The following is a 22,055-nucleotide window of genomic DNA, read 5'->3' as shown; positions in this document are numbered from 1 at the left end:
TGGGGGCAGATTTCTGATGAATGGTTTAGCACCATCCCCTTGGTGCTGTCCTTGCTATAGTGAATGATTTCTCCCAACATCTGGTTGTTTAAAAGTGTGTGGCATCCTCCTCGGCTCTCTCTCTCTCTTGTTCCTGCTTTTGCCATGTGATGTGCTTGCTCCTGCTTCACTGTCTACCATAAGTAAAAGCTCCCTGAGACCTCCTCAGAAGCAAAGCAGATGCCAGCACCATGCTTGTACAGCCTGCAGAACCATGAGCCAATGAAACCTTCTTTTATAAATTATAAACCCAGTCACAGGTATTTCTTTATAGTAACACAAGAATGGCCTAACACAGGGGCCATCTGGAGTTTGCTTGATTATGGACCTGTCTCCATGGGACAATTTAGAACCAAAATGAGTACTTAACTGCAGCACACATGAGCAGAAGAGCTATGAGGTGTGGGCAATTAAACAGACATAGAATAACAGGACCATCTTGGCCAATGGACAGTTCTCAACCTAGATACTTAAACATTGGGTGAGATCACTCTGATTTCCCTCAGCTACTTCCCAGGACTCTAGACTTACGAATCTAGGCTAAAAATATTGCATACTATCGAAATTTCTTGAGCTCAGGACATCCCATTGTAAGATGATGCCAGCCTGAAGCTTCTTTAATTCAAGCCTGAAGGCTGTGAAGGGAAGAACTCTGGGCAACTAGGGCTGCTGGCCTGATGTGTGATGTGCATCATCTTTTTCCAGCCACATACTGCACCCTTTCTGATTCTGCCCTGGAGGGTCTGGTTTAAGGGGGAGGGGAAAAGGAGAATTTCAGAGCATAAAGCTCTGCTTGGGGAAGATTAGGTCTGTACAAAATGCTGAAATGTGCAATATGCAACCCTCCAAGCACCCCAAGAGGGAGCAAGAGCCATAATAGGGGCACAGGGTCATAAGAAACACTGACAGGGGAGATAGCAGGGTCCCAAAGACAAATGTTCCTTATTTTGTCATGGTTTCATCATAGCTGGCTATTAGGTAACAACTGAAATTTCAGTTTAACTTGCATTAAGTAGGCTACTACTTGTCAGGTCCCATGTGAAGGCTGAGACAAGAAGGTGAGACGCTCTCCTCACCCTTGAGGAGTCACAGGCTAGTGGGGTACAAGACCCATAAACAGATAACATCAGTCTCATCCTTGACTCCCACCTGATTCATCAGGAAATCTTCTCAAGTCTATCTTCAAAATATATTTAGTTCTCACCTCTTCTGCCACCTCACCTGAGTCCAAGTTGCCATCTTCCATCACCTGGATGGCAACAATGGCCTCTCAGCAGATCTTCCTGATTCCATACTTGCCCATTGAGGACTCTTCTCAACCCAGGGGGCAAATCTTGACATCCTCTGCATCATAGCCCTCTAGCCGTTTTCCATCTCACTAAAACCCCAAGTCCTCACGATGGCCTAAAAATCCTGTGATGGTCTGGCTGCTGTTTAGTCTCATCCTTTCTTGCTCTGCTCCAGCCATGCTGGTTTCTCCCTGTTCTTAAAAATCCCAAGTGCGCTCTTGCACTAGGGGCCTTGTGCCTCCTGTACCCTCAGTCCCTCCTCACATCTCACCTTCTCAGAGGGGCCACCCTGACCATCTTATTGAAAAGTACCCCTTCTTCCCAGTCCCCTACCCCAAATGCTCCTGCTAGTACTGCCATTCCTGGCCCAACTCCACTTTTTAATTTTTTCCATAACACTCATCACCCTCTGTTATGCAATATAATGCATTATTAATTACATTTATTATTTGTTGTCAGTCTCCCCTTTGTCTATTTTGCTCACTGTTGAATCCCTGGTGACTAGAATAATGCTTGGGGCATAGTAGATATGTAATGAATATTTGCGGAATAAATTAAATTATTAAGAGGCTAAGATAATGATATGCACTAGGCACTACACAGGCACAGAGAAGGGGTACTGGGCTCACCGTGGAGGGAAGGCTACAGAAGATTTTTTTTAGGGCAAGTTGATATCTAACTGAATATCGAAGGATGAGCAAGAACCAGGTGAAAAAAGTTGGTGAGGGGGGAAGCTGAGCTATATTAAGAAGTAAAACCTTAGTGGTTTAGTATGGTTAGCTGGAGGTGGGGGCAAGCCCCTCAGAGTCAAAGATAGTCAAACAAATACTGGCAACATGCTGGAGATTCTACATGAAAATATATTCATTAAGTAGGTCATGTTTTATAAGTCAATAAAATCGAGATAACAACAGCCAGTGCTAACATTCTGTTAAATCAATGTTAAAAATATGCTGAACTAGAAAAACCACCTCCTTATTGTTCTGTACCCCAGGCAGTTTCTGTCTAATTTTCTTTTTCATAGTACTCATTCTATTAGAGGGCTTCACTGGAGCTTAGGTCAAAAGGAACCTAGAGACCCTCCTGTAGCTGGGAAACTGCTTCCCACTGCTGGGGGATTTCCCACTTCGACCTTTGGTGCTGAGCACATATTTACTCAGGATTTCCAACACCATTTTGCATGCTATTAAAACAAATCAACACCGTAAGAAGCTGAATAATTTCCTTAATTGAGATCCTGTCCTGAGATTTGATTCTCTCCTTGGCATTTGTTTTCTCCTGTCTAGGCCAATTACAAGTTACCAGGGTCAAGAGCACTTGCCTTCTTCCCAGCGGAGACTCACTTGACTGGGGGCACATTCAGAGCAGAGTACAGAGGGAAAGCAGAGAAGTCTCCAGGGCTGAAAACCAGGGGAGCTTAGCTTCCAGCTTAACAGATGCTTTTAGCTATGGAACGCTTTTTCTTAGTTATCTGATCTTTAAAATGAGCTTAAGAACGCAACCTGGTGGTGACTTAGTCACTTACCCTTTCTAAGCCTTAGTCATCAGATACATAAAATTGCGTGAACAATAGCAACACTGTAGAGAAGTTGTTAGACATAATATAGTATTTGGAAACACCAATTAAAAGCCTAAATATGTCAACCTGGTGGTACACATTTTAACAAACTCTTCTCAGTAATATGTATCCCTGACTTCACCATAAGGCTCAATGAGGTGATTCTGCTCAATAACTCTTTATATAATAAATATAACAATCCTACAAGTAATTAAGGCTTTGTCAGCAAATTTCCTTGCTTACTAATTAAGAAACCTGAAGATTTTGATAGGAATGAAGCACTCACGTAGGGATGAGAAAGGAATAGGGGAGGAGAAAAGACAGAGGAGCCAGATGCAGTTCAATACAAATCATTGATAAGTACTGGGAGAAATGCATCGAGTTAGGTGTTGAAACAGAACATGAGGATGAGTTCGCCAAAGGCAGCTCCCTACTTTACTACTCTCCATGGAGCTTGACACAAAAATAGTCTCAAGGTCACTTGGAACAAGGATGACATGAGGGGAACAGGAAATAATGACAACTACTGCAATAAGAGCTAACTCATTATATTCTGGACAGTATGCAAGTGCTTCATATGCATTAACACATTTTCCCTCACAGGAATTAGGTGTTATTCGTCCCCATTTTATAGGAGAAGTAAATAAAGTTGAGAGGCTTGACAGTTTTCTTACATCATAGCTAGTAAGTGGCAGAGGTAGGACATGCATCCTTCATCTATCTGACTCTCCAACTGCACTAAATCAACATGCTAAATGAGGAGAATCATCCACTGTGGTGAGAGGCAGCTTCCATCTGTTTGGTCCTGATTGTCTAAGTCCATGTTTACTTGTTTCCATGTGACTTCAATTAACATTGAGGTTATTGGCCTGATGCTTAGAAACCTAATGTTGACTGAACTTTTCAGGTTTCCCCACAGACTGGTGAACAGCTTTCTCTCTCAAATAGATGCAACCTGGTCACAAGAGAGAGGCTAAAACAGTTCAGTTTTAGCCAGTATTTTTCAGAGTTGAGGTTTCCTCTTGCATTCATTTAGTCTTCAATTTCTCAAGGACGAACTCTCTAGCAGACACTGTTTCTGGGGTCTGGGGAGGGAGTGGGGGAGCTGCCCTCATGGAGATTACATTACTCATTACTTACCATGGTGCCAGTGTATTCTTCCAGTTTAGCCTCAGAAATGGCCTTTTTGTGGTGAAGAAAGAGGTCTCGGAGGAAGTTCTGTGGCGCCAAGAGAAGAATCATACTTTATATAGTGAGCAAATAAACTGCAAAGGTCTTAAAAGGCCTTATTTCAAGAATTGTGAGTTGCTTGTTTCCAGGAGGAAATAAAATGCTTTTAGCAAGCAATAAATCCAAGAATGGAGGGCTGTCACTGTTTATAGGGAGCTCACGGGACCCAGGGAATAGCTCCAGCGTGAAAAAGTTATCATAAATGCTCAATTATGCTTCTTTTCCAGAGAGAGCAATGTGACTTGCACTTTCTAAACCTTTTAAAAATGAAAATATATACATATATGTACATATGTATGTATTTTTTGAGTCACATATTCAAATACATCTTTCTTGGGCCCACAGAAATCAAACTCATGATACACACATATCAAATTCCCAATGATAAACAAACCCACCCTTCACCCAGTGACACTCACGCGGAGCTCAGCAGCTGATATAAAGCCACTGCTGTCAGCGTCATATTTGCGCCAAATCTGAAATACACAAAAGTCACTAATTAATTTATCCTCAGATAACTTGGAATAATTATGTGGTATCTACTACAGTTCAGCATCTGAAAACAGTACTTAACTGAATGGAAATTCCACTTTTGATGGAAACTTTAGGCTTTCTTTGGTGAGAGCAATTTTGGGCACAATCCACCAGAAATGGATCACTGCATTCACTTGGAGCCACTTAAGGAGGGCCACAATGGTTTCAGTGAAAGCCCATTGAGTGGGCTTTCATCAAAAGTGTCCTTTTGGAAAGCTCAGAATGGAAATATAAAAAGGGATGAACTTCAATTTGGGGCAATATGACAAACTAAGAAGCCTCCTCAGTACTAAATACCTAAAAATGCAGCATCCTATGAAAACAGATTTTTTTTTTTTTTTTGAGACGGAGTCTCGCTCTGTCGCCCAGGCTGGACTGCAGTGGCGCGATCTCGGCTCACTGCAAGCTCCGCCTCCCGGGTTCACGCCATTCTCCTGCCTCAGCCTCCCTAATAGCTGGGACTACAGGCACCCACCACCACGCCTGGCTAATTTTTGGTATTTTTAGTAGAGATGGGGTTTCACCGTGTTAGCCAGGATGGTCTCGATCTGCTGACCTTGTGATCCGCCCGCCTCGGCCTCCCAAAGTGCTGGGATTACAGGCGTGAGCCACTGCGCCCGGCCAATAACTTTTAATTACATAGCATAGATCGCAAGAAAGTGAAAGGACTTCTAAGAGACCCGACATGATGGGAAAGCATAAACTCAGAGTGGTAATGTAGGACTGAAACCAAAGCCTGTCCCAAGTATGTCTGCCTGTCCCTGGCAACAAAGCCTGCAGTTTTATGAGAAAACTGCACATGTGGTAGACAGGGAATAAATCATGGGACCCACACAGGTGGAAAATTAGATTGAGGTGCCTGCTTTAAACTAAAACTTCAAAACTAAAATCTGAATGAAAGATGAACTTTAAAAAATTACACTGCAGAAAAGTCCTCTAAGAAATCTTGCCTGTGTGGTCTTGTCTCTGATGGAGGGGATAAAATAACTCTAATTCCCAGTTATAAGCTACTCCTCTTATTAGTGTGAGGCCAGCATTCATCCAGCTGAAGAAGCAGTTACGAACCAGAACACAGAACAGCTGACACTCTTTGAAGAAAGCACTGAACTGTTTTATTTAATAAATGCTCTTACTCTCCCCACCTCTGATTATTCCATGGACAAGCCTCACATCAATTGGCAAGCTCATTAACTCTTGTACAAAATGAAAGGTTACAGTAAGTTTTTTTTTTTTTTCACTGACAGATTTTTCTTAGATCCTAAATGGGATGACTGTGTTCTGTGTTACCAATTGCAAGGACCTTAATTATTAACCACAATCAGCGTCCTGAGCTCAGACTCTGCAGGAATAGTAGGAGGTGTTGATACTGATGCTGTGTTGACACTGATGCTGATATTTAGTAACAACAATTCAGAAACATCACTCCTTCCAGAACCTGTCATTTATGTCTGAATTTAGTCCAGTTACAAAATCAGTGAGTTACATGTGATTTATATCTTTTATCGTATGAATATGCCAAAACTATGAGAATTTCAAATAATTTTAAAAATTTTTTGCATGCTTTTTAAGTGCCATTCTCCAATCAATTTCCATTTAAATTATTGTGTAGTTTTACTACAGCTGAGCCATTGGAGAGCCAAAGATTTTTATGTGACTATTCAATAAGCCTATCTTTAAAGAATAAAGACAAAGTAAAGACATTTCCAGACAAACAGAAGCAGAGTTTATTACCAGCAGACTCCCGGTAAAGGATATACTCTAGGAAGAAGAAGGAACAGGATGAAGGAAATCTAAGACATACAAAAAGGAATGGCGAACAAAGACAATGGTAGCAATATGACATGTGGTGACACATGGGCAAATTGAAACAAATCTTGACTGCATAAAATTTGTGGGGTTAAAGAAAACAAGATAGAACTAATATTCTGGACAATAATGGCACATGAGCTGGTGGGTAAGAGTTATAGTGTGTTAAGACCCTGTGGTTCAGGGGAAAAGTAAAGACATTAACTTAGAATTTCTTCAAATATGTAGACTGTAATGGGATATAAGACAGTTAATTTTAAAAAACAAATTCAAGAATTCACAATGATAGTTTTAAAAGTTGGGTACAGAAAGGGAAAGCTCTTCTTTACAGATAAAATTGACAAACTACAAAGGCAGGAAAAGTGGAATTTAAAAAAAAGATAAGATAAGAAGCCTCCATAGGGCCATGTGATTTTCCCACTTCTCAAGGTCTTTCAAGACTACACTAGGCCTAACATTTTAATACTATTTTTCTATATTCATGATTTTTTTTCTGATATCATGTTCACTGTACAAAATTAATGAAATACAAAAAGAAAAAATGTATAATCTCCAGAAACTCCTATCCTGAGATAATTACTTATTGTTTCTGTGTGTTTCATTTCTATCATGTTTCTACAACATACACTAAAAAACAGAATTGGGGGTCATATTGTCTATACACTTGGGCAGTCTATTTGTTATTTTTATTAAAAATGTTATCTGAGTGTTTTTAAACACAATTAGAATCGTTTTGAAAATGTCATTTAAAATAAATTTTAAATAATTATGACTTTATACAGAATTGGAAAATACAAAAGTACAAAGAATAAAATCACCTGAAATCCTACCACTTACAAACAACCAATATTTTTTGTGTATTCTTACCTATATTTTATTTATTCAGGCTTTAGGGTAAACAACTTTTAAACAAAGTTAAGATCAAATTCCATATACAATTTTGTTTCTTAACATTGTATAGCATTTCCTTCATGTCATTAAATATTTTTTGAAAACTTGATCTTCAGTGATTAATAATGTTCAATACCGGAGTTTTTCTCTAATGAATCTGCAGCACCTAGAACAGTGCCTTGCATATTAGGGTGCTCTTAAGAATTTGTAGAATGAATGAATTATATGAATATATCATAACTAACTTTTCCATTATTGTTAGACATTTATGTTATTTTCAGTTTGAACTATAAGTGACGATGCAACATTATATGAACATCATTGTACAGAAAACTTTTGTCTACATCTGATTTTAACCATAAAATAGATGCCTGAAAAAGTAGAATTTTTGTTTTTTTTTGAGACCGAGTTTCCCTCTTGTCACTGAGGCTGGAGTGCAATGGTGCGATCTATGCTCACTACAACTCCGCCTCCTGGGTTCAAGTGATTCTCCACCCTACGCCTCCCGAGTAGCTGGGATTACAGGTGCCCACCACCATGCCCGGCTAGTTTTTGTATTTTTTTTTTTTTTTTTTTTTAGTAGAGATGGGGTTTCACAGTGTTGGCCAGGCTGCCTTTGAACTCCTGACCTCAGGTGACTCGCCCACCTCAGACTCCCAGAGTGCTGGAATTATAGGCGTGAGCCACCACACCCAGCCAGGACAAAGTTTTTTAAATAAATAAATAAATAAATAAATAACTGTGGATAATGAAATTTTAAAGGATCCTGACTGAATTTTTCCAAAATTACTTTCCATAAAATTATTCTACAATGTATGCCTACCAACAGAACGTCAGTGACAATCTCTGGGCTTCCTTGAAAGTATTGCATATTTTTGTGGATTTTCTTAAAATCTTTGCCATTTTGCTTAAAAAAAAATCATTTTCTTAATGTGCATTTCCTGAGTTACTGGCATAAATTCATGGTCCATTCAGAATTTCTTCTGTGAATTGCCTATGCAAAACTTTTTATCTCCTAAATGGGGACATGGTAACTATTTCCAGTGTGGGGTCCCGGATACAGTGGCTGTCTTGAATCTGCTGCTCTGGCCTTGGGGAAACCCTTATCTGCCCTTCCCTGGTTGTTTTTCACCAACAGAGCAGTAACACTGAGAGGCTGAGCGAGGGGGTAGCCCAGAGGGAAAGCGGTAAGAGAGGCCATTGATACCGCCTTTAACTTTTACTCTCCCATGGTTATAAACAGAAGGCCCACTAGCTGGACCAGCACTCTAATGAATTGTTTTGACTGTATCATCATGCCTTCAAAACTAAAATTAGTTGCTGCTATTTTCTAGAGTCTAGATTCCTAGATAGCATTCTCAAAAGGCTGAAGCTACATAGGGATATTGGCTTCAGATGGGGCACATGCTCTCCAATTTCCATAGTCCCCCACCTCCCCTCCCTCTCCATTCTTCAGTGTACCTGCCTGGCCTCTTGTCTAAAGTTTCCTCCAGCCCAAATTAAAGGAGCCTGTCAGCTCAGGAGCACCCCAGGACAATACTGAGCGAACACTGGGGTTTGGGACCAAAGTCCTCATCACTAAGGCATTTTTTGCTTGGTCTTATCCTCTGTGCTCAGCTCTCCCTTGAGCACTGGGCAGGAGTGGTGGCAGCCACAGCAGGTGGCTAAGATCGTAGCCTTGTCTCAGTCCTCTTTCTTCACAGAGACACAACCAAGCACTCACCTGCATAAACTCCACGCTGCTGTCCAGTGGGTTTTCCCGGCGAAAGAGCAGAAGAAAGTTTTCATCCTCAGATAAGAACATACCAGCAAGCTGAAGGAACAGAAAGAATAACAGTCAGGGACACTGGCCAGTGTCCATTTCAAGAGTGCTCCCTGGTAAAAGGCATGGTGGTGCATATTCCAGGGCAGAAGGGCTCAGATCTTCCAGGATGAACAGCTCGGTTTGCAGTTCTGTGCTCTTGATTGACATTCTTTGATTCATTGATTCTTTCAGAAAGTAACACACTCCTACTAAGTATAAATCACTATGGATATCTGCCTTCAATGAGCTTAAAATCTAAAATAATGATGACTATAACATTAATATCAACAATAAATTTGTTAAGTGCTTGATATGTTCCAGGCACTATTCTAAGAACTTCCAATACTAAATTAATTTAATTCCATAATAACAGAAAATAAAAATAGCAAATAATGCTTATGTTTGCCATGCATTATTCTAAATGCTTGTGTATGCTAATTCATTTAATCCTAATGACAATCTATAGGGTACACACATACCATTACTGTTATTTTCTAGTTGAGGAAACTGGTCTATACAGAGATAAGGAACTTGCCAAAGTTTTGTAATTAGTGTGTGATGAAGTCAATATTTCAGCTTGGCGATCTCAAGCCCACACTTTTAATCACTGTGGTTTGCTGGTAAGATGTTGTATACATACAATATTTCAGTGCAAAAGCAGGAATGACTGCTGCCTGGCTTGATACTTGAGTGTTAGCTATGGTTTATATTCTTTTACATTATTAGTGTCTATAAGATACTACAACAGTTGACTCAAGTATGATGAATTCAACCAATCAGCTTTTTTACATGAGCACCAGTTTGACTGATTTACTTCATGCACTCCCTTGAACAAAGTTATAATAATACCTTATTCCCCTATGTAGTTATAATACTTTTTTTCAGGTTTGGCTGTGTTCATTGCCAAACCTAGAGTATTGTAGTGTATGTTGTCTTCTTTCTGAGCTGTTCCCATAAACAATTGTCATTTCTTCTATAACTGAGTAGTTTGCTCAGTGTCTTGTACAATACCACAGAGTGAGTCCACAGCAAATGCTCCAGAAGGGATTTAGGTGTAATTAGCTCACATTCTCATTCATATTTTCTAATTGGATATGGGTCAGCTCAAGGACACACCATGTTAACAATAACTATCAGATGTTGAGTGCCTGCTACATGGCAGGTACCAGCAAGGTGCTTTTGATTTATCATCTCATTAAGTCCTCACACCAGTTTTTCAGGATGAGTATAAATATCCCCTTTTTATCAATGGGAGGCAGTGCAGTTCAATGTGTTATAGGCTTTAGAGTGAAATTAAATTTCTTCTCCATTACTTACTAAGTATTTGATCTTAGGTAATTTAGTTAATATATCTGTGCCTCAGTTTCCTCATTTGGAAAATGGAGATAATAATATTGATATCCTGGTCCTGATGGGAAGACTAAAAGTAAGATGAGCCAGTATTTATAAATTGTTTAGGAACATACCTCATACATATCAATTAGTCAACAAATGATAACTGCCATGTTGGTAAAGATGATAAAATTGAGCTCAGAGAAATTAAGTAACTTGCCTAAGGTTTCATATTCCACCATATTGACTTCATGCTTTTCCCATCAACCTACACAGGGTCAACTGGAACTGGGAACTGCCCTTTGAGACTAAGGGTGGCCTTTTTCCCATCTTGTTTTTTGCTAGAAAATCCAACATGAGTCAAAGTGGGCTGATTTTTATGTCACGACTACCTGTAATTGGAGTAAGTGAAATGGTCAATGGTACAGCAAGGGAATGTAGGGGAAACAAAAGGCCTTGCTGCTCCTTAGACTCACAGACTCATTGCGTTTTAAGGCGCCTTGGGAACGATGCAGTCTTGCACCATCAGTTTTTGTACAAACAACAACCTCAATGACACTCACGTGCAGGATTACAAGACAAAATGGTTGGCCAATTACTTGGGAATGTCTATCTGTTGTTAGTAAGATAATGACATAGTTTTCAGTTATTTGCTATGTTTTTCTCATTCGTTAATTAGGTCAAGAAATACTGAGCACTACTATGTGCTATGCTCTGTTCCAGGTTCTGGAAAATTACAACAGTGAACATGTAGTTATGAATATTTTGTTTAGTGCACCTAACTTGCTGTTTGCATTTACTGTTCTGTTGATACATACATTGATACTTTTACATCCAGTATAATGAGAATTTTTGGTTACATATACAATTTTGCCTTTGATTAAAAGTTTGGAAACAGCTACACTCATAAATCTAGAGTTTAGTTTATTAGTTTTCTGAAAAGGCAGTCTCCTGGTGAACACGCCCACTTTTTATAAAGGGACATTATCCTGCCCTATTAACATAACTTCCTGAAGAAATTATCCTATTATTTTCTTCAATAATATTGACTGCTCAAATATGGCAGTGTCACAGCATCAAGAGACTAGCTCTCCCAGTGTTAGGTAATATGTCTAACAGGCAATTTTGACTATGAAAAAATATCTTAGTTTCAGATTGACTCATTTTCACATACAGATTTATAGCTACATAGTATGAACCTGTATAGATTCATATCTATAAGCAGGGTTCCATTAAAACCATTACCACTTATTTGGTCATGTTATTCTAGGAAAGTAACTCAAGTCCTTATCAGCAAAATAGGGATAATGTTTCATGCCTATCATCATCTTAACTACTATGGGAATACAATAACAAAATATATGTGGAAGTCCTTTCTAAACTGTAAACATTTTTGTAACTGGAAGGAGAAATGATCAGGTAAGTTGTAGACCATCCCCACAGCCCTACACATGTAGTATAGTTACATGCTTTAGTATGTGCTCCATAAAAGTGGGTTGAGTTGAAGTAAAGACACCTATTGTCTGTCGTGCTTTTAATAATCTTAGGGATAGATCTTTCCCACCTGCACTGGGAGCTGATGCTGAAGTTTAACCTTATTTATTATCAGTAAGTTTTTCCTTATATCAATGTTCAATTTGAACAGGACACTGTATAAAGAGACAAATAGTAGATCAAGTAATTGAAAGGCCTCTATCATTTCAATTCCCAAATTATAAAACAGGTACAAATATTGATTGACCTAAATAAAATGATAAAAGAATTGCACACTCTTTGTTACTAAGTAGATGAAAAAGGAGAGGTGATTACTTTTAAAATGCTATCTAGGCCAACTGCCTTTCAGAAATCTCTAATTTCCTGATCAAATGTAAAGTTTCCATTGTCTTTCAAAGAATATTACAGCCCAAGACGATAAAGTAAAGAAAAAAACAGTCAAGAAGAGTAGAGCCATGAAAAATACTGTCAGTAAAGTTACCTCTTTCATCCGAATGCGACCATCTTTAGAGGCATCTTGGGTAGTCATAAACTGCTGTTTCACCTTGTGCAAATTTGCTTTCATGACCGTGTCCTGCAATTGACCAAACAGAGCCACATTAAAGCCACTGGAATCTCAAAGATATAGTTAGGATGGCAAATATTCAAAATATACAGCGTGAAAATTATGTTTTTCAAACATGGAAAGCAGGTTCCTTGACCATTTAAAGTGATTTTACCCTTTTGTAGAAGAGAGAGCAATGCTGGAGATTTCTTGAGCAACCAAGCACTAATCAGAATCTTGACTAGGTACAATTTACAGTTAATGAGTTACTAAAATATTGATGAAAAGAAGCTTAGAGACTAGGGTGCTGAAAGAACAAATTTGAACAGTGTTGTATTTGGTTGTGACAAAAGACTGTATTGTAATTACAGATTTTCTTCCCAATAACTCAGAGATTTTACATTTTTTAACTGAAAAGTCCAGTTCTTCTGGGCCCCCAGGTGTCTGTAACTCATTTTTAATCTTCTTTTGTATTCTCTGAGGAAAAAAACATAATGAGAAGGGAGAAATAATTAAAGAGGAGACCAAAGTAATAAGGTAATTGCCGAGTTAACCAAAGATGTTACAACTCCCTTCTATGTAGAACCTTAATTGTCTTCTTTGGTGGATTTTATGGTTACTACAGTAAAAGTGACATATGTAACCAACAATAAAGAATGAATTCTGATGCAAGGGTTGAGAAGCATAGATAATCCCAAACAGTGCCCAATTGTAAGATTCTAGACTTGCTGAAATTTATGCTAAACTCATTCTCCCTAATACTATCATGCTGTCTCTTGTCCCAAGCCCTCCAGCTGTAAGTTAGAAGGGCTGAGAAGAGGTAATCCTGTTGACTCATTATCCTCCCTGTTGGTGTTGGGGGTGGAGGTGACTCAGCCTTCAGCACACTCTCTGGATGCATCATCCATGCACATGTGTACAGGACAGTTCTCTGGGTGGCCTTGGGCTAACTCAGTTCTTCTGCCTTTCTCACTTGTATTTCTCAAGAATAACCCCAGCATGTGCTGGTAATGCAACATCCTGAGATAAGGAAGAACTTGCCAGAACAACCCAGGTGCAAGATGTCCTAAAACACTTTAGCCCACCACAACATGTTGCTTTCAGGTATAAAACCCAGAAAAGACTGCTTTCTGTCAAGCACCTACCATGTGCCAAACACAATTCTGGCCCCTGGTGATATTATAGTCAGCAAAAGAGACCTGGTCTTTGCCCTCCATCACAGGCTGGTGGAAGGCATCTTTGTCCAGCCTTCCTTTCCACTGAGACCTCTCCCTAATGGGTTACAAAGAAAAGAGGAGACGGTGGAAAGAGAATTGTGGTGGGGAATTAACAGCTGCCACATCCAGTTGCTAAGAATAGGAAAGAAGAGCAGGTGAATAAACATTTTTGGACTGCCAGCCAGAGGATGGGCACTAAGCCATGCTCTTTAACAAATATTATCTCCCTGGATCTTCACAACGGCCCTGGGAGGCAGAAAAAAATGTACTATAACCTTTAGCCCCTGGCTTCCTTGCTGGCCTGCTAGCTTCTTCCTCTTTGGGGACCTTGTTTTTTTCTTTTGTGCTCCAGCTTCTTACATGGAAATTCTCCTTTATCATTTTCCCATCACTGGCTGAGAAAATGTTTCTGTTTTTTTTGTAGTCTTGACTCGGAGGGGCTGTCAGTCCTCACCTCTTCCCATCAGGCTGTCATCTTTTCAGTTGACCTCTTGCATATGGCAAAGAACTTGCCAGAACAACCCATGCTCTGTTTTAGTCCTTCCTAGAACAAAACGTCCTAAAACACTTTAGCCTGGCACAACATGTTGCTCTCAGGCATAAAACCCAGGGAAGACAGCATATGGCAAATGTTTTCCAGTGAGTAGAAAATCTAGTAGAAAAGTAGTACAAACTCTCTACCTTCCAGATCTTAACATATGAAGACTAATACTCAAATTCATGATAATTTTATCCATTGCTGCAACTATAAATCAAAACGTATGATTCCTTCAGATTAGTCTTTGTGATTTAGAAGCAAAAGAATAAAGAAGAAAAAAAATCAGAGGATGTTTGGCACCCTTTCTAAGAATCTGAGACACTACCCTTTCATTTTACTGATGGAGAAAACAGGCCAGAAGGGTGATGCAGCTGAATACTGGCAGAACAATCTTGAAACCAGCATATTTGATATCTGGTCTAGTGCACTTTCCACCGCACCTTGTTGTTGGTTGAGATGAGGCAGAGAACACCTAATGGAGTCATTGCATTCCAACATTAAGTCGTTAATAAATTAGATGGTTCAAACAAAATGCAAGGACAGCTTGATGACTTGCTTTGGGGATTTTTCAGGATGGGTTCTGGCAACTAGTTAGATAACCACAAGCTTTAGATATTATAAGACCCTGAAGGTTTGAAAGCATATTCTTAGAAAACCAGGGAACACTTTGGTCAGCAAAAACAATTTTAATGCTAGGGAAGTTCCTGGGCATTATGCTAGACCTCAGCCCCTGATAATTGTCATCCATCGTACCAACTCATTGCAGGAGGTGGGTGCATAGCAAATGTTTGATGTCGGGTTATAATAGTGAGGTAGAAAAGATGCTGTGAGCTGACAGGATTTAAGCTATTGGATCCTCTAATATCTGATTCTCTAAACTTCCAGGATTGGTGTGGATACTGGATATATAGGGAACTGCCAAGTTTCATGTCAGTCAGTAGTTTGCCTCTTCCCTGTTCAATCATACACAAACTTTTGTCAGCAAGTATAAAGATAGAATTGTACTTCCTTTTTTTTCACTTGTTGCTTTTTTGCTGCAAATGATGATAAATAGATGAAATGCATGCAACAGAAAGAGGTTAATGAATTAATGGTTTGTATAGTTCCCAAATGGATAATAAATAATGAGGAATAAACTTTATTTGAAATAAATTGCAGTGAAGGTGAGTCTCTTTGTGAAAAAATTAAAGTTATATGAACAAGAACTAAAAAATAGCATCTATATGTATAGCTATTCTTTAAAATTATAAACCCAAACCAGTAGCATTTGTGATTGAGATGATGTATCAGTCAAATGGATCTGTGCATCCTAGCCATATCAAGGTCATCTGCTATACCTCTGGCTTTGGTCCTGTATTTAGAAACCCAAAATGATTAAAATAAGAGGACTTAGACAGTCTGACTCTGTCAACATCAACCAAACATACTCATATGGTGATTATAAATGGGGAACAGTGAAGGGTCTAGTTAAAAAAAAAAATGAATACCAGATGGGCATGGTGTCTCATGCCTGTAATCCCAGCACTTTGGGAGGCTCAGGTGGGTGGATCACGAGGGCAGGAGATTGAGACCATGCTGGCTAACATGGTGAAACCCCGTCTCCATTAAAAATACAAAAAATTAGCCATCCGTGGTGGCACGTGCCTGTAGTCCCAGCTACTCGGGAGGCTGAGGCAGGAGAATAGCTTGAACCCGTGAGGCGGAGGTTGCAATGAGCCAAGATCGCACCACTGCACTCCAGCCTGGGCAACAAAGCGACACTCCCTCTCAAAAAAAAAAAAAAAAAAAAAAAAAAAAAAAAAAAAAAAAAAAAAAAAAAAAAAGGATACCTTTCTAAATGAACACACACCAGACTAAAAATGTGAAAAAATACATTAGTGATTTGGAACCAAAGCATCAAGTGAAGAAATGAGAGATAATGCCTGTATCATTTGTCTAAGACAGAGCAAGTCTAACAGGTCCCTGAGGTGACAGTCTGTCTTCTGTCTTCCTTTGAGTAGCCTCCTTTACTCATGAAGGACCAAAGAGTGGTGGTGAGTATGACTTAAGGCATCCTCCAAAGGCTACCCTAGCTTGGAAAACTTGCTCTCATAAACTGGAAATCATATATATATGCACACACACACATACACATATATATATACACGTAATATATATATTATATATATATATAAAATCTTAAAAGCATTTCAGTGTTTAAGAGAGTAAGCTTCAATGATCCTGTGTGGGATAACCCCTTGGTGGATCTGAGGCAAAGTGGGGCATAGAATAAACACTGGGAAAACTAAGGACCCAAGAAGATATTGCGTCAGCATAAGAACATATATGTTGGGTGCTTTTGCAACTAAAAGCACCTTTCACTTGTGTTATCTTATGGGTCTTCACTGTGAAACAGGCAGGCCAAAACATTATTCTAATAATTATTATTTTATGGATAGGAAAATTGAGACCCAGGAGGTTTAAATGGCATGTTGCTATCACACAGCTCTAGATGGAGAGACAGGGAATGAGCATTGGATTTCTGCCTCCACACATAGTTGTCCTTTCCCCACCGACCATGAGTCTTCTTTGGAGTGGGTCTTCAGAGACAATAGGTACATTTTTTTTATTCTCTGTGGAAGGTGAACAGGTTCTTTGAGACTCCAGGTTCTTCTGTCAACCAGGTTACCTCATGTGATACCCCACTAATCGTGGTGGGATTAACCTGTCTAGTTTCAGCACTAAAGATTTTGTGTGTGCTTACATTTGAGGGTTCATGTACCATACAGGAAAAGCACAATGGAAATCACTCAACAGGGTCGAACTTCACTTTGAAATTCAGCTTGATCTTTTAGATTAAGAACTCCACAAGTATAACATTCATTTCTTTATCTCTGGAACACAGGATCCATTGGATGAATAAATGATTCTTTATGATGGGCTGGGAATTCCCAAAGGAAGTTAACTAACATAGGTCATGTTGGTGAAAAATTAGATTTTAAAGTAAATAAATGTGAAGTCAAAGTAACAGTGGCCAGATTCTACATTACCTTTAGTTTGAGGACACAGAATCTTGGCTTCTGTCTTCTCAGACCCCTAACCCCAAAGCTCATGACTATCCCTTTGACCTAAAGCAAAAGAAACTGGGGCTTCCTCTGTTGTAATTTCCCATCAGTCCTTATCTGAGACGCTAGGCTACAGCAGGGTACTATAATCCCTGAAGTATTGAAAGAGGCCCAGGATGTGGTACAGTCTGTATGTGAGGGGTATGTACACATAGAATCTGATGTTTATCCATGAACTGGCTAAAATCTCAGCATTTGGAAAGAAAAGGTTTGCAGGGAGTAACAGAAACAGCAGCAATTGCAGCTGATGGTTCCATTAAGTCAATCCCCTCCGAGGCTCTGAGGAATAGGTAATTACAAGCAGGCTGGTTGCTCTCCTGGATAGACTAGCAGGCAGCTTGCTGTTAGAAACCTCAAAATACCTTCTTCTGAGATCTCTGTGATCCGCTAATCATCAGAGGAAAGTAGAGCTATTCATGCCTCTGAAGGTTGGCTTACCACTGCTGAACACCAGAGCAAGGGGCTGCCTGATTGTGGAGGCCTCCCTGCTGCTGGATTCTGTACTCACTGGGCATTACCAATCAAAAGCAGGTGTCACAATCAAATGGTGACTGTTCCTCAACTGAAGGGCCTTCCATTTTGGAAGTCCTGCCCTATTGTTAAGAACTTGCTTAAGGCCTACTTATTACTCATCAGAGACAAAACCCAAAATTAGGAATAGCTTCCTTAATCATGGTTGTCCAGGTAGCATGGAGTGCCCAGTGAAAGTCCCTGCAAACACACTCCCCAGAGTAATGCCTCAGCGTTTTGAAAGGCATCCAATGGCAGATGATATCATTTCTAGTTAAGAGTTCAAACTTATCATCCTGGCTCCAAAAGCTTTCTTCCCAGCCAAGTGCTCATGAGATGTGCCTGAGGCTATTGCCACAGCTCAGTGGGATTGGCCTAATTATATCAGAATCCCCTCTCCAAAAGTCACTGTTCCTAGAGGAAAAAAGGGTAAAAAAACATGCTAACTGACTTTGAGTGCTTTTAAAATGAAAGATCTTTGGCAGACCCCAAATGTATTTAAATACCTACAGGATGAGACCTAGGGGTCTGCATTTTAACAAAAAAATATAATTCTCAGGCATACTGAAATTTGATTTGCACTAGGTTAAGGATTATGAGAACTTCCAACCCCCGTTCCAGCCTCAGAGATATTTGCACTGAATGCAGTTGCGCAGGACACCAGTGAGTCCTTTGCTGTCCTCTTTCCTCGAGGATTATGCTTGCCCCTGTGTAAGAGCATTAGTCCATGGACCAGGTCTGAGATAGGGGCAATGATAAAAACAGCCAAGCTGCAAGAGATGACATCCCTCTTTTCTCTCACAATGGCAACAATGCTTCTAAGGTTAGCCAAAATCTCAGATGAAGATATCTCACAGCATCCTCATCTTAGTGCAGACCCCAACTCGATGAATGAATATTAGATACTCCAGCTTCAACAGTGACAGCAATTTTTCTCCTCCCTTTTATAAATGACTAGAACAAGGAGCCCTCTGAAAAGGTGAGAAGTTCCAGGTCCCTGAGGACAGATTTTTAGGAGCTGGCCATCCCATTTATTCCAAGATTTTGAATGGTTTTAACTTTGTCTTTTTGCTTTCCTCAAATACCCATGTCCATGATAGATAAGATGGGTTTCTGGAACACGATGAACCTTACATTTACAGATATAAGTAGAAGCCCTGTGGGCAAGGCTGGTGGGCTTCACCATGGGCTGCTAGCACGTGAAAGTGGCTGGCTAGATTGAAGCAGAAGCCTCACTTGGGGGAGGCTTCCTCAGCTCTACCTGTAGCTTGTGTAGGTACAAGAATGAAGGATAAAGAGGAGTGTGCGCAAGTGGTCTGACCAGAGGAAAGAAGGGACTTGTGTCTCTATCCTTCTCGTCTGCTGATCCTTTCACTTCACAGGCTGCACAGGGTAAGGGGTGGAGTGCAGGCAGACAAAGAGCAATAAAAGGTACAGAAAAAGGGAGATAAGAGACAAAGAAAAGGGTGAAGGAGAAAATGTGGAGAAAAGAAATGAAGGTCAAAAAGAGAGATGGGAAAGAAAGAAGAAAGGAGAAATAAAAGACATGGGGAGAGGAAAGACCAAAAGAGCTTTGAGAAGCAGAGAGACTGGAAAAAGAATGGGAAAACACAGAGACAGAGAGATGGAGAAACAAATGAGAAACAGAGACAAGAAAGATGGGCAACAGAGAGGTCAGAGAGAAAGGCAAGAAACAGTAGGAGATGAGAGCCATGAAACACAGAGATAAGAAACAGAAGTGAGCAGAAAAATGACAGAGATAGACATAAAAAAGAGAGACAGACAGAATATGAGAGGCAGACAGAAGTAGAGGGGGACCAAGAGATCTGTGTGGCTGAAGAAGGCGGAAGCCAGCCCTTTTGTTTCTGAACCAGCTTCCCCTGCCCCCCACATACCCTCCCCATGTTCTCAACAGTGGTGAAGAGCTCCTTGTTCCCTCACTGAGCTCTCACATGAGAATGTGATGCACTTCTATTCTTCAGATAAACAGCTGAATGATAAGGACAAACTATCTCCATCATTCATTTAAATTCAATTGTCCCTAGAGCGTCTCCTTCTACTATGAATGCCCTACTGGAGCTTTCATCAGATCGAGCCCATCCCCAGGCTGTCCTCCGCTCATGTGTTTCTGTGTAAAATTTTTCTCTGCTTTGATAGAGAGACTTTCAAGAGTTCATTTACATCTCCCAAGGACATATTTACCATCAGATGGACACTAGATAGATTGGCTTCCATTTGTATCTGGGCTCTGAGTATGCTGGTTGTTTTCTGGTTTGTCATTCCCTGAAAAATCTGTAACCTCTTCTAATAAAATGAATAATGGATAAATGATTTTAAATGGTTTGTGGTTTGCTATCAGAGGAGTATCATACATATTAAACACCCAAAATCTTAATGTGCTTAACATCTTTTCCAGCTTTTTGAACAAAGTGGGCTACTTTACCCCCAGGTATAAATCAATTAGCAGAGACATAACCAAGGAGACGTTCAAGACCAAGTTAACTGAGTCTACAGTTAGGATCTCTGAGTGGATGACAGATGTTACACTGAAAGTCAGTAACCAGCATGTCTAATGCTACAGTTGCACCTTTTATAAAAACTGCCTAAATCCCTCTATGTTGCTAGGAGAGGGGGAGAAATTACATACATGCAAGGAAGAAAGGAGGTGAGTTGGAATTAATAGGTACCAATCAATATAAGACTTGGATGTGCGTATCTTACTAAGAGGCATAAATTAAGGCTTAGTGTGCAAGTACTTACATCAGTACCCAGTTTCATCAACATGTGGAGAAAGAAAGCATCGAGTTCCTTCTCTTCTATGTAACCTTTTTCTAAATGTGAGAAAATAAACATAAATAATACTAACATATAAAAAACACATGACAGTATTTATCTAAATATGTTTTTAATCTCACAATTCATAAAGCTTCCCTCAACACTATTTTTTGTTATTCCAATAACAAAGTGCCAACACCTACCTCTAGAATACATGGGTTTGAACAGTAAACACTGTTCCAGAATACGTGCTTTATGCTAGGGTTTATATTAGTGCTTGGAAAAGGAAGGCTATTAAGTACATGAATTTTAATCAATGAATAAACGTGAACTTTCCAATAAAATTTAACCCCAAAATTTCTGAAGCTTGGAGAAACTTAACAGGTGTAAGTATTGAATCCCAGTTTGCAGAGTTAAAACACACCTTTTAGATATTTTATTTCTTTATTAATAAAAACAAATATTAAGTAGTTCCATTTTATTTTCAAGTAGTTTTTTGGTGGAGGAGTCGTTTTGAAAGCTGATAAAATTTATTCTCATTTTGAGAGAGTGAGGGGTGTACAGCAAAGTCACTGCGTAAAAGTGAGCCCATTTAGGGAAGGATGACTTCAAATAGCTGAGTCTCAGCCCACAAGCCTTGAACATATACAATGATATTAGTCATTGTATATACAATATATATGTATGTCTACCATATATATGGCGCGCTCGCACACAAAGAGAGATTGGAAAGGGGAAAGTGGAAATTCACCACCCAGAATTTTAACAAGGTATATAGATGTGTATCACCAGTATGCCAAACGTCTGTTAATGATACTGTATTAGGTACACTGCATTAACAACCCAGGTCGATAACTTTTCCTACAGTAAAGGGGAAACTCCAGGTCCTTTCAGCGGGCTGAGCTTGGAGCCACGTCTACACCTGAGTGTGCAAGTGGCTTGTTCTACTCACCATCCGCATCAAAGCGCTGCCAGACCTGCCAGAAGCCAGCGGCGTCCAAGCGCCCCAGAGTCGGTTCCCGGGAGCTGTCCATGGTGTTGACGACGAAGACCAGGCACCGGCGCGGAAGGACCTAGACAACTTTGGGAAGGACTCCTTCACCGTATTTCTTGACTTGCTCTCCTGCTTCTTTCGCTATCTGATTAGCTTTGAGTAACTGTTGCTGGGGAGGACGCGAGCGCTGCTGGCCGTGGCGTCGCTGAGCCGTCCCTCAGCCCTCAGCAAAACCAGCGGCTGGAAGCCCGCCCCGCTCCTGGCGCGCCTGTCCCCGCCCCGCCCTGCGCGCTGTCCTGGCAGATCCTGTCTGTCTCTGCGCTTTGGGGAATTCAGGAAGAAAGAAACTGTCTCCAGGCGTCCACGGCTCACTGCTTTTGCCCTTTAACTTGCTTC

General features: G+C 40.1%; 1 protein-coding gene across 1 annotated transcript in view, besides 1 other annotated feature; it reads right to left on the bottom strand.

Moving 5' to 3' along the window:
- Positions 1-21,888, bottom strand: part of SCGN (secretagogin, EF-hand calcium binding protein) — a 49,569-nt gene extending 27,681 nt beyond the window's left edge. Inside the window, exons 1-6 of the mRNA NM_006998.4 lie at positions 21,618-21,888; positions 20,651-20,721; positions 12,459-12,551; positions 9,071-9,160; positions 4,536-4,592; positions 4,027-4,104 (exon numbers count right to left, since the gene is read on the bottom strand). Of these exons, the coding sequence (NP_008929.2) occupies positions 4,027-4,104; positions 4,536-4,592; positions 9,071-9,160; positions 12,459-12,551; positions 20,651-20,721; positions 21,618-21,699 (471 nt within the window). The 5' untranslated portion in view covers positions 21,700-21,888. The remainder of the gene's footprint in view (positions 1-4,026; positions 4,105-4,535; positions 4,593-9,070; positions 9,161-12,458; positions 12,552-20,650; positions 20,722-21,617) is intronic.
- Positions 12,700-13,899: an enhancer, noted in NCBI's record as "MED14-independent group 3 enhancer chr6:25660432-25661631 (GRCh37/hg19 assembly coordinates)". NCBI's record gives its function as "activates an origin of replication core promoter dependent on BRD2, BRD4, P300/CBP and CDK7 cofactors, and independent of MED14, by STARR-seq in HCT116 cells {active_cell/tissue: HCT116}" and the evidence as "EXISTENCE:reporter gene assay evidence [ECO:0000049][PMID:35650434]".
- Positions 21,889-22,055: the final 167 nt, after the last annotated feature.

This window comes from Homo sapiens, chromosome 6 (genome assembly GCF_000001405.40).
Source record: "Homo sapiens chromosome 6, GRCh38.p14 Primary Assembly".
Lineage (NCBI taxonomy): Eukaryota > Metazoa > Chordata > Mammalia > Primates > Hominidae > Homo > Homo sapiens.
This window is presented reverse-complemented; position numbering and strand designations above follow the sequence as displayed.